The following is an 18,038-nucleotide window of genomic DNA, read 5'->3' on the forward strand; positions in this document are numbered from 1 at the left end:
ATGATGGGTAATATAATTGACTCTAAACCAAACTTCATTTCTTAAAAGAAGGAAGAGTTGTTGCTGCAACCTTGAAATTCAAGAACTCTACATAGGCTGATGGATTTTTTACATTGGGGGTTTGCCTAGGAGTTTACATGATTAGTCAGTCTCTCACTCTATTAGTGGATTCTGTCCATTCATTTAGTCGGTCAATCATTTTTTGGAATATCCCCCATGTTGGAGGACTACCATAGGTACTGGGATAAAGGTTAATAGTCTGTCATGCTTATCTTCTAGGTGCTTGCTATTTGTGTCTTGCCTAATGGTTAAGTTTCCAGCCCATTGAAAGGTGTGAAGTACTAATTCACCCATTTATTAATTCAACAAATTTCAATTTTGTCAAACATGTGCTAGGCATTTGGATGCAGTAGGCATTGGCCCCACAATGATGAATTGCTCTTGTAGAATTTACAACCTAGTGGGAGAAGAAAGGACACATTTTGGTTACTTCGGTTAATAAAAGAGTAATCACAAATTAAAATCAATTCTTTGAAGGAAAAGAATACAGATATATCCATGCATGTAAACAAGAAATCCAACCCATATATGGGAGAGGCTCAGTAATGAGTTAATCATTGAAGGAGATCCAGAGGGAAAGGGACACCATCTTCAAAAATGTGTTCCTAGAAGTAGCATGCCAGTGTCAGATGGACAGCCAAGAAAGTAGAATGTTTCAAGAAGGAACAATCAACCATGTCATGAGGTTTTGTGAGGACAAAGAGAGGACTGACCAATGTCCATTGGATGTTACAGCATGGAGGTTATTGGTGACTAGAGTAGCTTCAATTTTCATAGAGTGATGGTGGCCGAATTCTGACTGGAATGGATTGAGGATTAAATAGACACAGAGGAAAGCAATAGGGAATATAAACAAAACCTTTAAGAAATGTAGTTATGATGGGAAGAAGATATGGGTTCATTGAAGGAGAGTTCATGTCCTTATTTATACATGGGAGAGGCTTGGGCATGTTTGAATATTAAAAGGTAGGATACAGTTTACAGGGAGTTATTGAATACACAGTACAGAGATGGAAAAATGAATACATTTTTTTACTAGTTGAAAGCAAGAGAAGATCAGACCCAGAACATTGGAGATGGACTAGCCTTAGAGAGAAGACAGAAGGGAAGTACGGTATGGATAGAAGTAGATTTGGTGCAAAAGGGTAGAAGTAGAAATTGCTCCCATTCAACTAATTTGATTTTCTCTGAAAAGTTGGAGCTCTGCATGTCTGTTGAAAAGGAGCAGCGTGAAGGAGGAGTTGGAGGTTTGGAGAAACTGGGGAATGTTTGAAATAGTCATTGTAGAGAGTAGGATGGTATGAGAGTGAATAGACGGAGAAATATAGGAAGACTGAGGGGCAGTGTTGCAAGTCCATCTGAAGCTGGTGAAGGTGGTGTTCTGATACTTACCTGTCCTATTCTGTGGCTTTCCCCTGCAGTGCTTGTTCCTGGAGGGTGGGCACTGAGAAAGCAGGTAACTGAGATCATTTTGAGTTGAAGAGTGAAGACCAAAGGGCAGGAGAGTGTAGGGTTATGAAAAGAGTGTTATTGAAATGATGAGCTCTGGAAAGAAAAGTATGCTGGATAAAAAGAGGATAGGAAGAAGAGTGAGAGTTGAAGAAAGCATTGGGACATGGGGAACAGTCAGAAGTACCACTGAGATTAAGTGGAAGAGAGAGCCAGCCTCAGCATCATGCATTCGTGTGTTCCAGTGGAACTATCCTTTCAGAGGATGGGCTTGTGATGTCCAAAACTCTCTCCTGCTGCAAATCTCAAATGAAAGGGCTTGTAGTACAGAGCAGAGGCCCTGGCAAGATTGGAACTGGTGAAGAGCCATCAGTGGTGGCTGGTATCTTCTGACACTCCATGTAGATTCCAGGGCCTGAGCAATGTGGCATTTCTTAGTCCTTCTATGACAATGTGGTTATTAAGCTGTTAAGTAAAGACATCTGTTTGAAAGCATCTTCCCTACAATTTTTGCAGTATCAAGGAAAGTTGATTTTAGTGGATAAAGGGAATATTTTTGTCCTTGTCATTCATTCTTTAAACTATCAATCATGTATATTGATCAAAAGTCATCTAAAAACCTATGGCTTTTTAAGCAGACAATGAACAAACCAACAAACTCAGGCTCTGCTAACATTCAAGTCTGATGTTGGATGCAAAGATCTGGAGTTGAACCCTTGGCATGGAGATGCTCTAAGGAGATGCCACCTTCTCACATTATATGAGACCAATCAATGCCTTGCTTCTCCTGTCCAGCTTTCCCAGCACCCACTTTGTTCTCCACTCACCAGAGTGCATCTCCAGGAATGAAAGCTTCATCATCTCATGGCCAGTTTATGGCAGCATCTTCCTAGCTGGTCTCCCTCCTTTTGGACCTTCTACCCTTTTTTAATCCTACACTTGACTAATTGCCTTATTAATTAACTTTAAATTCCTATTTTCTTCTGTTACCTCACTATTAAAGGAACAGAAGTTCATGCTTTTCTAATCAAGTTGTAGGAATGAATTCATCTGCCTCTTACGTGTGAGACTTTGGACACATAACTTAATTTTCGTGGGCCTTAGTTTGTTCATGAATTTAAAAATCCAAGTGTGGCTATTGGACTAGATGGTCAAATTCTTCATGGTTTGAAGTATGTGGCTGGGCTAGAGCTCCATTCCAATCCTGAAATTCTGTTGCTGTGCTCCCCTCCACAGCCTACTTCCAATCCTAGTAATATAGCCATTGAGCTTCAGTACTCTGATGTGTCAAGTTAGGATAATCTGCACCTATCTTGGGGGTTGTTTGAAAATTTAATTCAGTTAATGTTGCTTAGCACTGCTGCCTGGCACATCATTTCCCTTCTTTCTTCCCTCCTGGTGCTGTAGGTACCCCCAACCCCAACAGGTTAGGACCACCTGCTTGCCAAGCACAGCCTTGCCTTTTTCTGTTTAATATTGTGGCTCAATCATCCTAGCAAGACAAGCCATCTGCGACCCTCCATAGAAATATTTTCCTGTCTCCAGCCTCTGTAGTCTTTGTTCTTATTTTGTGTGTGTGTGTGTGTGTGTGTGTGTGTGTGTGTGTGTGTGTGTTTGGTTTATTTATTCATTTTTAAATGTCTCACCTTTTCCTTTATATCAATTCAAGCTGAAAACTTGGCCTAAAACTCCTTTAGAAAAGAATCTCCAAATATTTTGATCTTTGAGCTTTAACTTTCTGGGAATCTAGGCTCAGAGGTAGATGTATTTTTCCCATTTCTGATTTTTTTCTTTCACACTTTGGGAACTCAATACACATGATGAGTAAACAGATGAATTCTGAAAAGCAGCCTCCTTTACCATTAACAACTACACAACTCCTATTCTAGACACAAGTGCTGATACTGGCACACATATGACATTCATTTCCTATAGGCACTTCTGCCCTGACTTTGCCTCTCATTCTGTTAGCAGACAGTTTGTGTCTGGTCTGTTTACCCAATTGAAAAGAGCAGGATCCGCATCTGTCTCAGTCGCTGATGGGCTACAACGTTCAACCACAGCGCCTGGCAAGGAGTAGGCATTTAGGAATATGTGGATTGAATGAATGGTTGCTAGGGAGTATGGTGGCCTCTTAATTTTATGCTGGGCTCATCCCAGTGCGCGCACGTGGGAACTTCACAAAAGTTATTTCATGAGCACAGCGCTGAATCCCCTTATCCTACGGAGTTTACTGAAGTGGGGCCAGTTCTCCGCCTCTTTTAACTTTACTGCCAAGGCAGGAGAGGGGTGGAGTGGCCTGGAAGACAGTTGGAAGGAGGGTGGGAGATTTGCTTTCTTACAAAGATGCTTTGGGAGACTGGATCTATAGCGCCAAATTTTCAGGAAGAAATGATCCTGAGTCCCAATGGCAAAAAAAACAAAAACAAAAACAAAAAACAAAACAAAACAAAACAAAACCCCACAAAACCTGCAGCCGAGCTCAGTGTGTATCTTCTGTTAAAGAGACAGCCTGAAAGCCTCCTGTGTACTGAGAGCGTGGTCCAAACCAGAGAAGGGGGCGCCCTAGCTTGCCCCCAGCAAGCCATTAGTACAGGAAGACAATCAGCGAAGTCAACCTCACTGAACCCACTTCTTGGGCTCCCTGTGCCCGACGCTGGCTTCTGGTTCACGGCGTGCCTACCCAGCTGTCGTGGGTCCCCGTCACTCCCGGGCGCATGTTGCAAAACAAATCAACTCCATGGGAAAAGCTCCATGAGCGCCCAGGGGACAAGTCCCCACGGACAAACATGTCATAACGATTTCAGTTTTGTCCCATTACGTGAGGTTGTAAGTTTCTTCATCATTCCCCCCTCCCAACAAGCACAAAATCGTCCCCAGCCCCTGGAGCATCTTGCGGGGCTCCCAGGTCAGCAACAGCACTCGGAGCTCCGAGCTCCAGGGAAAGCGCTCAGGGAATGGCTCCTAGGACTGGTTCCTGGGAAAGCGCCAGCGTCCAGGGAGAGATTTCCTTCTCCAAGGGCCGGCAGGGTGGCATTCCAAGCGCGAGCAAGGTGGGCAGTGAGCGATCCTCCCTTTAAAAAAGAATAAATAAATAGAAGCCAGCGCGCAGCCCCGCTCGGGTTTCCCGAAGCGCACACCGCTGTCGCTGCCGGGGCGGCTGGATGTCTGCGCTCCCCGCCTCCGCTGGGCTGACACGGGAGGGGAGGAGCAGGAGCTGGAGGGGTGTTGGGGGTGGGGGGAGCGCGAACCATCTCGAGCCAAGACAAGCAGCACATTCACAAATAACGCCCCCACCCCCAGCGCACGCGCTCCCATTCAAAGCAGACCCGCTCCGCGGCCGCACTGAAGCTCCAAAGCCGCGCCGCCTGCCCCAGCGCAGCTCTGTCTCGTGGGGCGCACGCCCGAGCCCGCCTGCCGGCCGCCGCCGCGGAGCCACCGCAATCAGCGCAGGAGGCGGCCACCTCTTCGAGGGAGGGGTCTCGCCTGAGACTCCCCTTGGTCCCCGCCATGGGGACCATGGCACGACTGGAGGCGCCCCAGTGCCCCGGGTTCCTGGCCCGCCTCCTCGGTGGCACCTGGTGCCTGCTCTGTATCGCCGGACAGGTAGGGTAGCCTGTGCGTCTTGCGTCCCTCCCGGGGACTCTGCTTCTAAAGCCTGTGCTACAGCGAAAAGCGCTACAGCGTGGGAGGTGCTCTCTTCCGCGAAGGTCCATCCTGGGGCTGCGCTGCCGCCCAGGCTGGGGACAAGTGGCGCGGGGTTGGGGCTAAGGCGTACCCTGGGGTCGATCGGGTCGATCTCTGCGTTTAGGCTTGACCCAGCTTCCTGGGACCCTGTCCTGGCTTTTCGCCCTTACCTGGGTCCTGCTTCCAGCCAGGCAGAGCCGGGGCGAGAAGGCGGCGCCTGAGCTGGGGAGCTGTCATCCCCAACAGTCCTCTACCCCCCACCCTTTCCGACAGTCCTTCGCGGAGCCCCCTCTCTCGTTCCAGGCTGAGGCTTGGGCGGCGCCGGGGACACTCGGGTGCTGGGACACTCCTCCACACTTCCGCCCTTCTGCGGACCTAGTGAACTTCTGACACTGTCACCCTAGGGCCGCCCGCAGCCGAGTGTCGGGGGCGCAGCGTTGTAATGTGTGCGGACGCCGGACCAGGTGGGCTCCCTGGTGCCTCCGCGGTCTAGAGGTGGCTCTGGTGGGTGGGTGCCCGAGGATTGGCCCTGACCATACCCCCTCCGAATCCTCCCAGGGTCTTCTCCAGGGCCACACGGGGTGTATAAGGAACTGGGGACTTCTCCAGGGTGGGAAATTCAGGCCCTGAGGCGGCGCGGAAGGGCCCTGGGAGAGGGTGTCTGATTAATTCAGTTTGCCTGGTAGTGGTTTATTATCACAAGACTTGGAGAAAGCTGCTTAGGGAAGAGGGCAGGGGTCCAGGGTCGAGTCAAACTCAGAATGCCTGCGGTTCCTTGGTTTTCACACTTTCCAGACTCAGGTTAACTATTGCTTAAAACCCACGAATTGGGCAGTTTGTACATAATTTAGCCTCCATAGATTTGCCTTTCACAGGATTACTTGGGTAATTCTGGGAAAATACCCAAATACTCTTGGCCGGAATTACCGCCAGATAGCCTCCCTTTCCTCTGTTTTGCTTATGGAGACTTGTCCAAATAGGGGGATTTCCTTCCCTCGCTTTTTCTTAACGTTTTGCAACTTGTTTTCCGATCTCTATTTTAAAATTTTGATTGCAGTGGTGCACTTCTAGAGGCTGAGAGAGGACCGAGAATGTTGTCTCAGAAGGGCCCGGAGCAGCAGGGATTACTCTCATCAGTAGTAGAAATTTTCAGCAGGGAACACCTGCTTAGATTGGAATATGACAAACAGTTGGAAAAGCTTGTATTAATTATCAGCAAGTTGTATTCCCACCATGCTTCGTTCCTTGTCAGGGCTTCCCAGCCATGGCTGCACAGTAGAATTACCTAGGGGAGCTCTAGAAATTTCCTGCGTTAGGGCCACACCCCAGCTGGATTACATCAGAATCCTGGAGGGAGAGGGGAGGCTGGGACATCAGAAATTCTAAAGCTCTCGGGTAATTCTGTTCTGCAGCTGGGTTAAAACCCAATGTGCAAAAATGACCTGCCTTAATGTGACTTTTTTTTTTTTTGAAACGGAGTTTCACTCTCGTTGCCCAGGCTGGAGTGCAGTGGTGTGACCTCGGCTCACTGCAACCTCTGCCTCCTGGGTTCAAGCGATTCTCCTGCCTCAGCCTCCCAAGTAGCTGGGATTACAGGCATTTGCCACGACGCCTGGCTAATTTTTTGTATTTTTAGTAGAGACGGGTTTTCACCTTGCTGGCCAGGCTAGTCTCAAACTCCTGGTCTCAGGTGATCCACTCGCCTCGGCCTTCCAAAGTTCTGGGATTACAGGCGTGAGCCACTGCTCCCGGCCAATGTGACTTGTTTTATAGAATCATGGCCCCATGTGTCTTTATAGCAGCATGATTTATAGTCCTTTGGGTATATACCCAGTAATGGGATGGCTGGGTCAAATGGTATTTCTAGTTCTAGGTCCCTGAGGACTCGCCACACTGACTTCCACAATGGTTGAACTAGTTTACAGTCCCACCAACAGTGTAAAAGTGTTCCTATTTCTCCACATCCTCTCCAGCACCTGTTGTTTCCTGACTTTTTAATGATTGCCATTCTAACTGGTGTGAGATGGTATCTCATTGTGGTTTTGATTTGCATTTCTCTGATGGCCAGTGATGGTGAGCATTTTTTCATGTGTTTTTTGGCTGCATAAATGTCTTCTTTTGAGAAGTGTCTGTTCATGTCCTTCGCCCACTTTTTGATGGGGTTGTTTGTTTTTTTCTTGTAAATTTGTTTGAGTTCATTGTAGATTCTGGGTATTAGCCCTTTGTCAGATGAGTAGGTTGCAAAAATTTTCTCCCATTCTGTAGGTTGCCTGTTCACTCTGATGGTAGTTTCTTTTGCTGTGCAGAAGCTCTTTAGTTTAATGAGATCCCATTTGTCAATTTTGGCTTTTGTTGCCATTGCTTTTGGTGTTTTATACATGAAGTCCTTGCCCATGCCTATGTCCTGAATGGTAATGCCTAGGTTTTCTTCTAGGGTTTTTATGGTTTTAGGTCTAACGTTTAAGTCTTTAATCATCTTGAATTGATTTTCGTATAAGGTGTAAGGAAGGGATGCAGACACATGCACACGTATGTTTATTGCAGCATTATTCACAATAGCAAAGACTTGGAACCAACCCAAATGTCCAACAATGATAGACTGGATTAAGAAAATGTGGCACATATACACCATGGAATACTATGCAGCCATAAAAAATGATGAGTTCATGTCCTTTGTAGGGACATGGATGAAATTGGAAATCATCATTCTCAGTAAACTATCACAAAACAAAAAACCAAACACTGCATATTCTCACTCATAGGTGGGAATTGAACAATGAGAACACATGGACACAGGAAGGGGAACATCACACTCTGGGGCCTGTTGTGGGGTGGGGGGACCGGGGAGGGATAGCATTGGGAGATATACCTAATGCTAGATGAGGAGTTAGTGGGTGCAGCGCACCAGCATGGCACATGTATACATATGTAACTAACCTGCACATTGTGCACATTTACCCTAAAACTTAAAGTATAATTAAAAGAAAAAAAAAAAAAGAATCATGGCCCCAGAAGTAAACTCGAAGAACAGTAAAGAAGGCCTGAGACAGGGACTTGGGAGTCTTGACATGTAGCTTCCAGTCCCGGCGCTGTCCCTAAGCGCGGTATCATTTTGGTCGAGGCCCTTACCTTCCACTTCCTCATCTGTTAAGTGAGGGTGTTGGCCCCTTTTTTCACAGGTCCTACCAGCTTTAACAACACCAGGCAGGTTGACATCTGAACCAAATTAAGACATCTTTCGTCTTATTTTTAAATATCCACAAGGTAGAAATTCTACCTTATCATTGATAATTTGCTACAATACCTGCTCATATTTGGATCCAGCAAAGATGCTAAAAAGGAGCTTGTAGTTTCTTAGACTTGCAGTATTTTTTTTTTATGCTTTCCCACTGCCTGTTCAAACTCACTTCAAGTCATTAGGTGCTTTCTTGGCATTCATGACAAGCTGATTTTTCCTAACATTACACACATGTTCTTTCCTGTGCCACTTCTTAACCATTTCTTCTGGATAAGGATGATGACAGCAGATTTGGGTCTTGTGTGTGTGTTGCAAGTGGCTTATTGTTTAATTCCAAATGGGTCTTTCTCTTACCACCATTCAGAGCTGCTGTCCACATGTGAGGAGCCTGATGAAACTTGTCTGAGAAAGAACAGAAAAGAGTTTAAAGTGGTAGATTGGTTCAGTATCCCGGTAAATGCAAAATGCCTTTGAGAGTTAACTTGGTCAGGTGTTTGTCAGAGCAGCTGTTTAAAGTCTTCACTTGGTTTTAATCATATAGGCATTATATTTAACCATCAAATTAAACAGATCAGAAATTTGAGGATACTTAATATCAAATCAAGAAGAAATCATTCTATGATCGATAGCCAGTGCCAGATGATTTGAACATTATTTGGAATTTATATATTCTTCAAGCTGTTTTTGAATCAAAACACTCAATACATGAAGGTATAACAAACAGACCTCCCGTGTAGATACTGTAGCTATAGTGAAAGGAGACTGTGCAGTCAAGAGCTTTTGCTACCCAAATGGAATGATGTTTGAGCTATATTCTCCAAATAGTCCAAAGAACAATTTTAATGCCAATAAAAATTATTTGGAAATCTAAAGATTTCTTTCTTCTCACTGAATTTCTGCTTTCAGGGGTTATTTCCCTTTCTCTTCTGACTGAATTACACTTCTTAAAGGATTCTTTTCTTTCCTTGCAACTTAAAGGCAACTCATTCCTTAGATTCTTATGAAACTGATTATTTTCCTCATTAATTTCATTTCATAAGCTGAACCCAGCATGATCCTATTACCTTAATTGCTCCCAGATAAGGAAATGCTTAATCAACTCATGGTAACCAGTAGATATTATCAATTACTTAACGATTTCTACAACCTGACTGTAGCAATCCACTGTAAAACGAAGAAGGCTGGTCAAGAGGATGTGTTACTAGATCAGCGCAAATCCATTACTGTTGCTTAAAAATGTCACTTGCTGGCGGTTCATGTCCTTTTGGTGATATATATGTGGTAGCTCATTCAGACAGAAAGATTTAATATTTCCATTTACAATGTTATTCTAAATGGTATCCTTGTTAGGAATTCAGTAATAAAATAAATACTTCCTGGTTGGCTGGAAAGAATTGCGCCTTTATGGGCACCTGATTTCCAACTAAAATTCTTTTTCTTATTTTATTTTATTACTATTATAATATAAGTTTTAGGGTACATGTGCACAATGTGCAGGTTAGTTACATATGTATACATGTGTCATGCTGGTGTGCTGCACCCATTAACTCGTTATTTAGCATTAGGTATATCTCCTAATGCTATCCCTTCCCCCTCCCCCCACCCCACAACAGTCCCTAGAGTGTGATGTTCCCCTTCCTGTGTCCATGTGTTCTCATTGTTCAATTCCCACCTATGAGTGAGAATATGCGGTGTTTGGTTTTTTGTTCTTGCAATAGTTTACTGAGAATGATGATTTCCAATCTCATCCATGTCCCTACAAAGGACATGAACTCATCATTTTTTATGGCTGCATAGTATTCCATGGTGTATATGTGCCACATTTTCTTAATCCAGTCTATCATTGTTGGACATTTGGGTTGGTTCCAAGTCTTTGCTGTTGTGAATAATGCCGCAATAAACATATGTGTGCATGTGTCTTTATAGCAGCATGATTTATAGTCCTTTTGATATATACCCAGTAATGGGATGGCTGGGTCAAATGATATTTCTAGTTCTAGATCCCTGAGGAATTACCACACTGACTTCCACAAGGGTTGAACTAGTTTACAGTCCCACCAACAGTGTAAAAGTGTTCCTATTTCTCCACATCCTCTCCAGCACCTGTTGTTTCCTGACTTTTTACTGATTGCCATTCTAACTGGTGTGAGATGGTATCTCATAGTGGTTTTGATTTGCATTTCTCTGATGGCCAGTGATGGTGAGCATTTTTTCATGTGTTTTTTGGCTGCATAAATGTCTTCTTTTGAGAAGTGTCTGTTCATGTCCTTCGCCCACTTTTTGATGGGGTTGTTTGTTTTTTTCTTGTAAATTTGTTTGAGTTCATTGTAGATTCTGGATATTAGCCCTTTGTCAGATGAGTAGCTTGCAAAAATTTTCTCCCATTCTGTAGGTTGCCTGTTCACTCTGATGGTAGTTTCTTTTGCTGTGCAGAAGCTCTTTAGTTTAATTAGATCCCATTTGTCAATTTTGGCTTTTGTTGCCATTGTTTTTGGTGTTCTAGACATGAAGTCTTTGCCCATGCCTATGTCCTGAATGGTAAAGCCTAGGTTTTCTTCTAGGGTTTTTATGGTTTTAGGTCTAACGTTTAAGTCTTTAATCATCTTGAATTGATTTTCGTATAAGGTGTAAGGAAGGGATCCAGTTTCAGCTTTCTACATATGGCTAGCCAGTTTTCCCAGCACCATTTATTAAGTAGGGAATCCTTTCCCCATTGCTTGTTTTTCTCAGGTTTGTCAAAGTTCAGATAGTTGTAGATATGTGGCGTTATTTCTGAGGGCTCTGTTCTGTTCTGTTCTGTTTCATTGATCTATATCTCTGTTTTGGTACCAGTACCATGCTGTTTTGGTTACTGTAGCCGTGTAGTATAGTTTGAAGTCAGGTAGCGTGATACCTCCAGCTTTGTTCTTTTGGCTTAGGATTGACTTGGCAATGTGGGCTCTTTTTTGGTTCCATATGAACTTTAAAGTAGTTTTTTCCAATTCTGTGAAGAAAGTCCTTGGTAGCTTGATGGGGATGGCATTGAATCTATAAATTACCTTGGGCAATATGGCCATTTTCATGATATTGATTCTTCCTACCCATGAGCATGGAATGTTCTTCCATTTGTTTGTATCCTCTTTTATTTCATTGAACAGTGGTTTGTAGTTCTCCTTGAAGAGGTCCTTCACATCCCTTGTAAGTTGGATTCCTAGGTATTTTATTCTCCTTGAAGCAATTGTGAATGGGAGTTCACTCATGAGACACAACATACCAGAATCTCTGGGACACATTCAAAGTAGTGTGTAGAGGGAAATTTATAGCACTAAATGCCCACAAGAGAAAGCAGGAAAGATCCAAAATTGACACCCTAACATCACAATTAAAAGAACTAGAAAAGCAAGAGCAAACATATTCAAAAGCTAGCAGAAGGCAAGAAATAACTAAAATCAGAGCAGAACTGAAGGAAATAGACACACAAAAAACCCTTCAAAAAACTGATGAATCCAGGAGCTGGTTTTTTGAACGGATCAACAAAATTGATAGACCGCTAGCGAGACTAATAAAGAAGAAAAGAGAGAAGAATCAAATAGACGCAATAAAAATGATAATGGGGATATCACCACCGATCCCACAGAAATACAAACTACCATCAGAGAATACTGCAAACACCTCTACGCAAATAAACTAGAAAATCTAGAAGAAATGGATAAATTCCTCGACACATACACCCTCCCAAGACTAAACCAGGAAGAAGTTGAATCTCTGAATAGACGAATAACAGGCTCTGAAATTGTGGCAATAATCAATAGCTTACCAACCAAAAAGACTCCAGGACCAGATGAATTCACAGCCGAATTCTATCAGAGGTACAAGGAAGAACTGGTACCATTCCTTCTGAAACTATTCCAATCAATAGAAAAAGAGGGAATCCTCCCTAACTCATTTTATGAGGCCAGCATCATCCTGATACCAAAGCCTGGCGGAGACACAACCAAAAAAGAGAATTTTAGACCAATATCCTTGATGAACATTGATGCAAAAATCCTCAATAAAATACTGGCAAACCGAATCCAGCAGCACATCAAAAAGCTTATCCACCATGATCAAGTGGGTTTCATCCCTGGGATGCAAGGCTGGTTCAATATACGTAAATCAATAAATGTGATCCAGCATATAAACAGAACCAATGACAAAAACCACATGATTATCTCAATAGATGCAGAAAAGGCCTTTGACAAAATTCAGCAACCCTTCATGCTAAAAACTCTCAATAAATTAGGTGTTGATGGGACGTATCTCAAAATAATAAGAGCTATCTATGACAAACCCACAGCCAATATCATACTGAATGGGCAAAAACTGGAAGCATTCCCTTTGAAAACTGGCACAAGACAGGGATGCCCTCTCTCACCACTCCTATTCAACATAGTGTTGGAAGTTCTGGCCAGGGCAATTAGGCAGGAGAAGGAAATAAACGGTATTCAATTAGGAAAAGAGGAAGTCAAATTGTCCCTGTTTGCAGATGACATGATTGTATATCTAGAAAACCACATTGTCTCAGCCCAAAATCTCCTTAAGCTGATAAGCAACTTCAGCAAAGTCTCAGGATACAAAATCAATGTACAAAAATCACAAGCATTCTTATACACCAATAACAGACAAACAGAGAGCCAAACCAACTAAAATTCTTGAAGATGACTTGCTTGTTTTTTTTGTTATCCTCCTGTATGTTCTTGCTGTTGTTTTTATTTATTTTCTTTTTTTACCATAATAATTTTGCATTGTTAAAAATGCTACTAAGGATTTTTATTTGTTTTGCATTGTATTGAGGTATAAATGGCATAAGGTATACTGCACATGTTTAAAGTATACAATTTGATAAGTTTTGACATATGCATATATTCATGACACCATCACCCTGAAGTTTCCTCATTACCCTTTGCAATGTCTTCCTCCCTCCTGTCCTTGAGTCCAGCATCATCAGGCAAATAATGATCACCAGACAAACATTACCAATCAAATACTTTGTTACTGTGAATTAGTTTGCATTTTCTAGAGTTTTATGTAAATGGAACAATCCCTCCTCCTTTAACTGAAAGGAGGCTTTTGGCTTTTTCCCCTCAGCATAATTATTTTGAGATTATTCCTGTTATAGCATGTATCAATATCTCGCTGCTTTTATTCCTGAGTAGTATTGCATTGTATAGATAGACCACAGTTTGTTGTCCATCAGCATTCACCTATTGATGGACAGTGTGTCTGTTTCCACTTTTGCTATTACAAATAAAGCTGCTGCAAACATTTATGTACAAGTCTTTGTATGAACACGTTGTTTAATTTGTGTTAGGTAAATACCTAGGAATGGAATGGCTGAATAATATAGTAGGTGTACATTTAACTTTTTAAGAAACTCAGTTTTTCAAAAGGTTGTACCCTTTTCTCAGTAGCAGAATGAGAGTTCCAGTTCCTCTGCATCCTTGCCAATACCTGGTGTGGTCTTTTCTTTTGGTCATTCAAACAGGTATAGTCATAGCTTGTTCTGGGTTTTAATTTGCAATTCTCTAATGATTAATGATATTGAGCATGTTTTCATACGTTTAGAATCCACACATCTTCTTTGGTAAAATTTCTATTCAAATATTTAGCCCATTATAGGATTGTTAGTTTTCTTATTGGGCTTGGAGAATTCTACATTCTGGCTGTGAATTTTTTTTTTTTGACAGTCTTGCTCTGTTGCCCAGGCTGGAGTGCAGTGGCATGATCTTGGCTCACTGAAACCTCCACCTTCTGTGTTCAAACAATTCTCATGCTTCTGCATCCCAAGTAGCAGGGATGACAGGTGCGTGCCACCATGCACAGCTAATTTTTTTGTACTTTTAGTGGAGACACGTTTTGCCATGCTGGCCAGACTGGTCTCGAACCCCAGGCCTCAAGTGGTCTGCTCACTTCAGCCTCCCAAAGTACTGGGATTACAGGTGTGAGCCACCACCCAGCCACTATGAATGTCTTCTCAGATGTGTGATTTGCAAATATTTTCTTCCAGTCTGTGGCCTGTCTTTTCATTTTCTTAACAGTGTCCTTTGCTTGGCAGAAGCTTTTAATTTTGATGAAGTTGAATTTATCAAATTGTTTCCTGGACAATTGTGATTTTGTTCTTGTTTCTAATAAATATTTGCCTAACCCAAAATTACAGAGGTTGTCTTCTAGAAGTTTTATAGTTTTAGGTTTTTACATTTAGTTTCTTTCATTCTTGAGTTAATTTTTGCATATGGTACAGGGTAGGGATCAAAGTTCGTTTTTTGGCCTATGGATGTTAAATTGTTTTTGCATGACTTTTTGCAAAGACCATCCTTTCTCCACTGAATTGTCTTTGTACTTCAAAAATCAGTTGTCCACACACGCGTAGGTCTATTTTTGGATTCTCTGCTCTAATCCACTGAAGTACATGTTTATTGCTATGCTAGTAGCACACTTTGAGTGGTATAGCCTTATAAAAAGTCCTGATAAATAAAAATAACTTTGTTCTTCATATTTCAAGGACATTGACTTGTCTATCCTGTATGAATTTTAGAATCAGATTGCCAATTAAAAGATGCATGCGGGGATTTGATTAGGAGTGTTTTAATCTAAAAGATATATTTTGAGAGAATTGTCGTTTTACTAATACTGAGTTTCATGACTCATGAACATGAAAACCTCTGTAGTTAGGTCTTCTAAACAGTATTTGGTACAATATTTTAGTGTACAAGTGTTATATATTTTCATCAGATTTATTAATATTTCATATGTTATGCTTTTTTAAATGACATTTTAAAAAATTTTAGTTTCCAATTCTTTTTTTGTTAGTATACAAAAATACAATTGATTTTATATATTCTTGTTTTCCGCAACTTTATTAAACTCATTAGCTGTAGTTGTTGTGTGCAACAATATGTAGTATATTCCATCAGATTTTCCACATAAGTGATTGTCTTGTGCAAATAAAGAGAGTTCTTTAAAGTCTTTATGTCTTTTATGAAATTTTTTCTTGTATTATGACACTACCTTCGAACCTCCAGTACAAGGTTGGATAGAAGTGGTATGAACAGATATCCTTGTCTTGTTTATCATTAAGTATGATGTTAGGTGTGGGCTTTTTTGTAGATGCTCTTTATGTCTGAGGAAATTGCTTTTATTCTTCATTTGCTGAGTGTTTTTATCAGAAATGGATTTTGTTTCTGCAGCTAATTATCACAAGATTTTTCCTTTTTAGTTTAATATAGTGAGTTACCTTCACTGATATTTGAATGTTCAACCTACCTTGCATTCTTGGAATAAGCCCAAATTGATCATAATATTATTTTTATATATTGTTGGATTCAATTTACTAAATTTTGTTTAGAATTTTTACATCTATGTCCATGAGGAATAAGGTTCTGAAGTTTCCTTTTCTTGAAATATCTTTGGTTTTGGTATTAGAGCAATGCCGGCTTCATAGAATAAGTCAGAAAATATTCCCTTATTTTCAACTTTCTGCAATCTCTATATGATTTCTTCCTTAAATGTTTAAGAATTCACCAGTGAAGCCACCTGGACCTAAATTTTATTTGGTGTGAGAACTGTTTAATTACAAACTTAATTTCTTGAATAGATATGGGGCTATTAGGGTTATCAATTTCATCTTGAGTTAGCTTTGATTGTCTTTCACAAGTTCGTCAGTTTCATCTAACTTGTTGAATTCATTGGTGTAAAGTAGTTCATAGTGCTCCTTTATTATGTTATTTAATGTTATTAGGCTATGTAGTTATATTACCTGTATCATTCATGATATTGGTTATTCTTTCTTTTTCCCTGATCAATCTGCTTCATAGCTTATCAATTTTATCAATCTTCTCAAAGAAGCAGCTTTTGGTTTAATGAATTTTTCTTTGTTGTTTTTGTTTTCTATTTCACTCATTTCCTCTCTTCATTAATTTTTCTTCTAGTCTGTTTTATTTGGTCTTATTTTTCTAGTTTTGTAAGGTGTATGCTGAAGTCATTGATATAAGGTATTTTGGATTCTCAAACACAGATGTTTAATGATATAAATATTCCCTAAGTTGTGCTTTAGAGGCATATCATAAATTTCTATATGTATTTTTTTTTCAGTTCATAGTACTTTCTTATAACCTTTTATTTCTTCTTTGACTCATGGCTATTTAGAAATGGTTGTTTGGTTTCTAAATATTTGGGGATTATCTGGGTATCTTTGTGTTATTGATTTCTAGTTTAATTGCAGTGTGATTAGATGACACACTTTATGTCACTTGAATCCTTTTTAATTTATTGACACTTGTTTAATGGACCAGAATGATGGTCTTTCTTATTAACTGTTCTGTGTACACTTGAAAAGAATTAAACTTTCTACAAATTTGTGCCTCTATTTTTTTTTCCCGATCAGTTTTGCTATTGTTTGATAGAATGTTCTTTAAATGTCAATCAGGTCAAATTGGTTGATACCATTGTTCAAGTCTTCCATACACTTACTGATTTTTCTGTATACTTATTGTATCAATTATTGAGAAAGGGATATTGACATCTCTATATTACCACTGTAGACTTGTCTATTTCTCTTGCAGTTCTAATAGTTTTTGCTTTATTTTAAAGCTCTGTTATTGGGTACATAAATGTTTAGGATTGTTATGTTACCTTGGTGAGTTGACCCTTTATTATGAATAAATGACCTTCTCTATCCCTAGTAATGGTCTGTGCTCTAAAATCTACTTTGCCTTTGGCTATATTAATATTAGACAAACATTTCTGATTTGAGATTTTTTTAATATAATAGTTACCTCCATTGTTCTCACACTGTACCTTTAATGTGATCTCCTGACTTACCATATTTTATTAAATTCCCATTATAGTATGACTTCCTAATTCTCTTTCAAATCCTACTTTCATCATCCTTTTGTTATCTTTTATCACATTAAAAAAATCAATGATAAGTATTAATATGTTGTAGTGGCAATAGTGAGCCAAGTAGTACATTATTATTATTTTTTCTAGTACACTTCCTTTTTGTAAAAAAAAAAAGCTTTATTGAGATATAATTCACAAACAGTACAATTTATGCATTTAAAGTACATGTTGCTATTGAGGAATCCAGACTCCATTTTAAACGGTTCTGGTTCATTGGTTTTTATTATATTCACAGTTACATTAAACCATCATCACAGTCACTTTTGCAACATTTTTGTGAATTCAAAAAGAAATCTTGTACCCTTTATATCACCCCCTTACTTCCCTCCCACCCTAGCCTAAACAACCACTTATCTACCTTCTTAATACATTTCCATGTTCTAGATTTTCGTATCAATGGAATTATATAATATGTGGACTTTTGTGACTGTCTGATTTCACTTAACATAATGTGTTTAAGGTTTATCCAAGTTGTAGCATATATCAGTACTTCATTCCTTTCTATGGCTGAGTATTATTCCATTGTATGAATATAACACATTTTGTTTATTTGTTCATCTACCTATGGGTATTTGGATTTTTCCCACTTTTTAGCTATTATGAGTAATGCTGCTATAAACATTTATGTACAAGTTTTTGGGTGGACAAATGTTTTTATTTCTCTTGGGTATATACCTAGGAGTGT

At 40.5% G+C, this 18,038-nt stretch overlaps 1 protein-coding gene and 1 long non-coding RNA gene across 7 annotated transcripts in view, besides 2 other annotated features; one reads left to right on the forward strand and one right to left on the reverse strand.

The window, feature by feature from the left end:
* Nucleotides 1–339: 339 nt before the first annotated feature.
* LOC105375987 (uncharacterized) lies at nucleotides 340–5,449 on the reverse strand. Its single transcript, XR_929509.2, has 2 exons — nucleotides 5,367–5,449; nucleotides 340–4,583 (listed from the first exon to the last, which is right to left on the reverse strand). It is a non-coding gene; the product is annotated as an uncharacterized LOC105375987 (long non-coding RNA).
* The window catches only part of ADAMTSL1 (ADAMTS like 1), a 1,004,318-nt gene continuing 991,105 nt past the window's right edge, over nucleotides 4,826–18,038 (forward strand). For 4 of the 6 annotated variants that reach the window (XM_011518063.3, XM_017015311.2, XM_017015314.2 and 1 more), the window contains exon 1: nucleotides 5,523–5,660. In XM_011518063.3, coding sequence (XP_011516365.1) covers nucleotides 5,639–5,660 — 22 coding nt within the window. In that variant the 5' untranslated portion in view covers nucleotides 5,523–5,638. Of the gene's footprint in view, nucleotides 5,116–5,522; nucleotides 5,661–18,038 lie in introns of those variants that run through there. The other 2 variants (XM_011518064.4, XM_017015312.3) reach the window with 1 other exon arrangement.
* Nucleotides 5,001–5,545: an enhancer, noted in NCBI's record as "H3K27ac-H3K4me1 hESC enhancer chr9:17906806-17907350 (GRCh37/hg19 assembly coordinates)". NCBI's record gives its function as "activates a minimal SCP1, AML or CMV promoter by ChIP-STARR-seq in naive H9 embryonic stem cells {active_cell/tissue: H9 hESC(naive)}" and the evidence as "EXISTENCE:reporter gene assay evidence [ECO:0000049][PMID:30033119]".
* Nucleotides 5,546–6,090: an enhancer, noted in NCBI's record as "H3K27ac-H3K4me1 hESC enhancer chr9:17907351-17907895 (GRCh37/hg19 assembly coordinates)". NCBI's record gives its function as "activates a minimal SCP1, AML or CMV promoter by ChIP-STARR-seq in naive H9 embryonic stem cells {active_cell/tissue: H9 hESC(naive)}" and the evidence as "EXISTENCE:reporter gene assay evidence [ECO:0000049][PMID:30033119]".

Source organism: Homo sapiens, chromosome 9 (genome assembly GCF_000001405.40).
Source record: "Homo sapiens chromosome 9, GRCh38.p14 Primary Assembly".
Classification (NCBI taxonomy): Eukaryota; Metazoa; Chordata; class Mammalia; order Primates; family Hominidae; genus Homo; species Homo sapiens.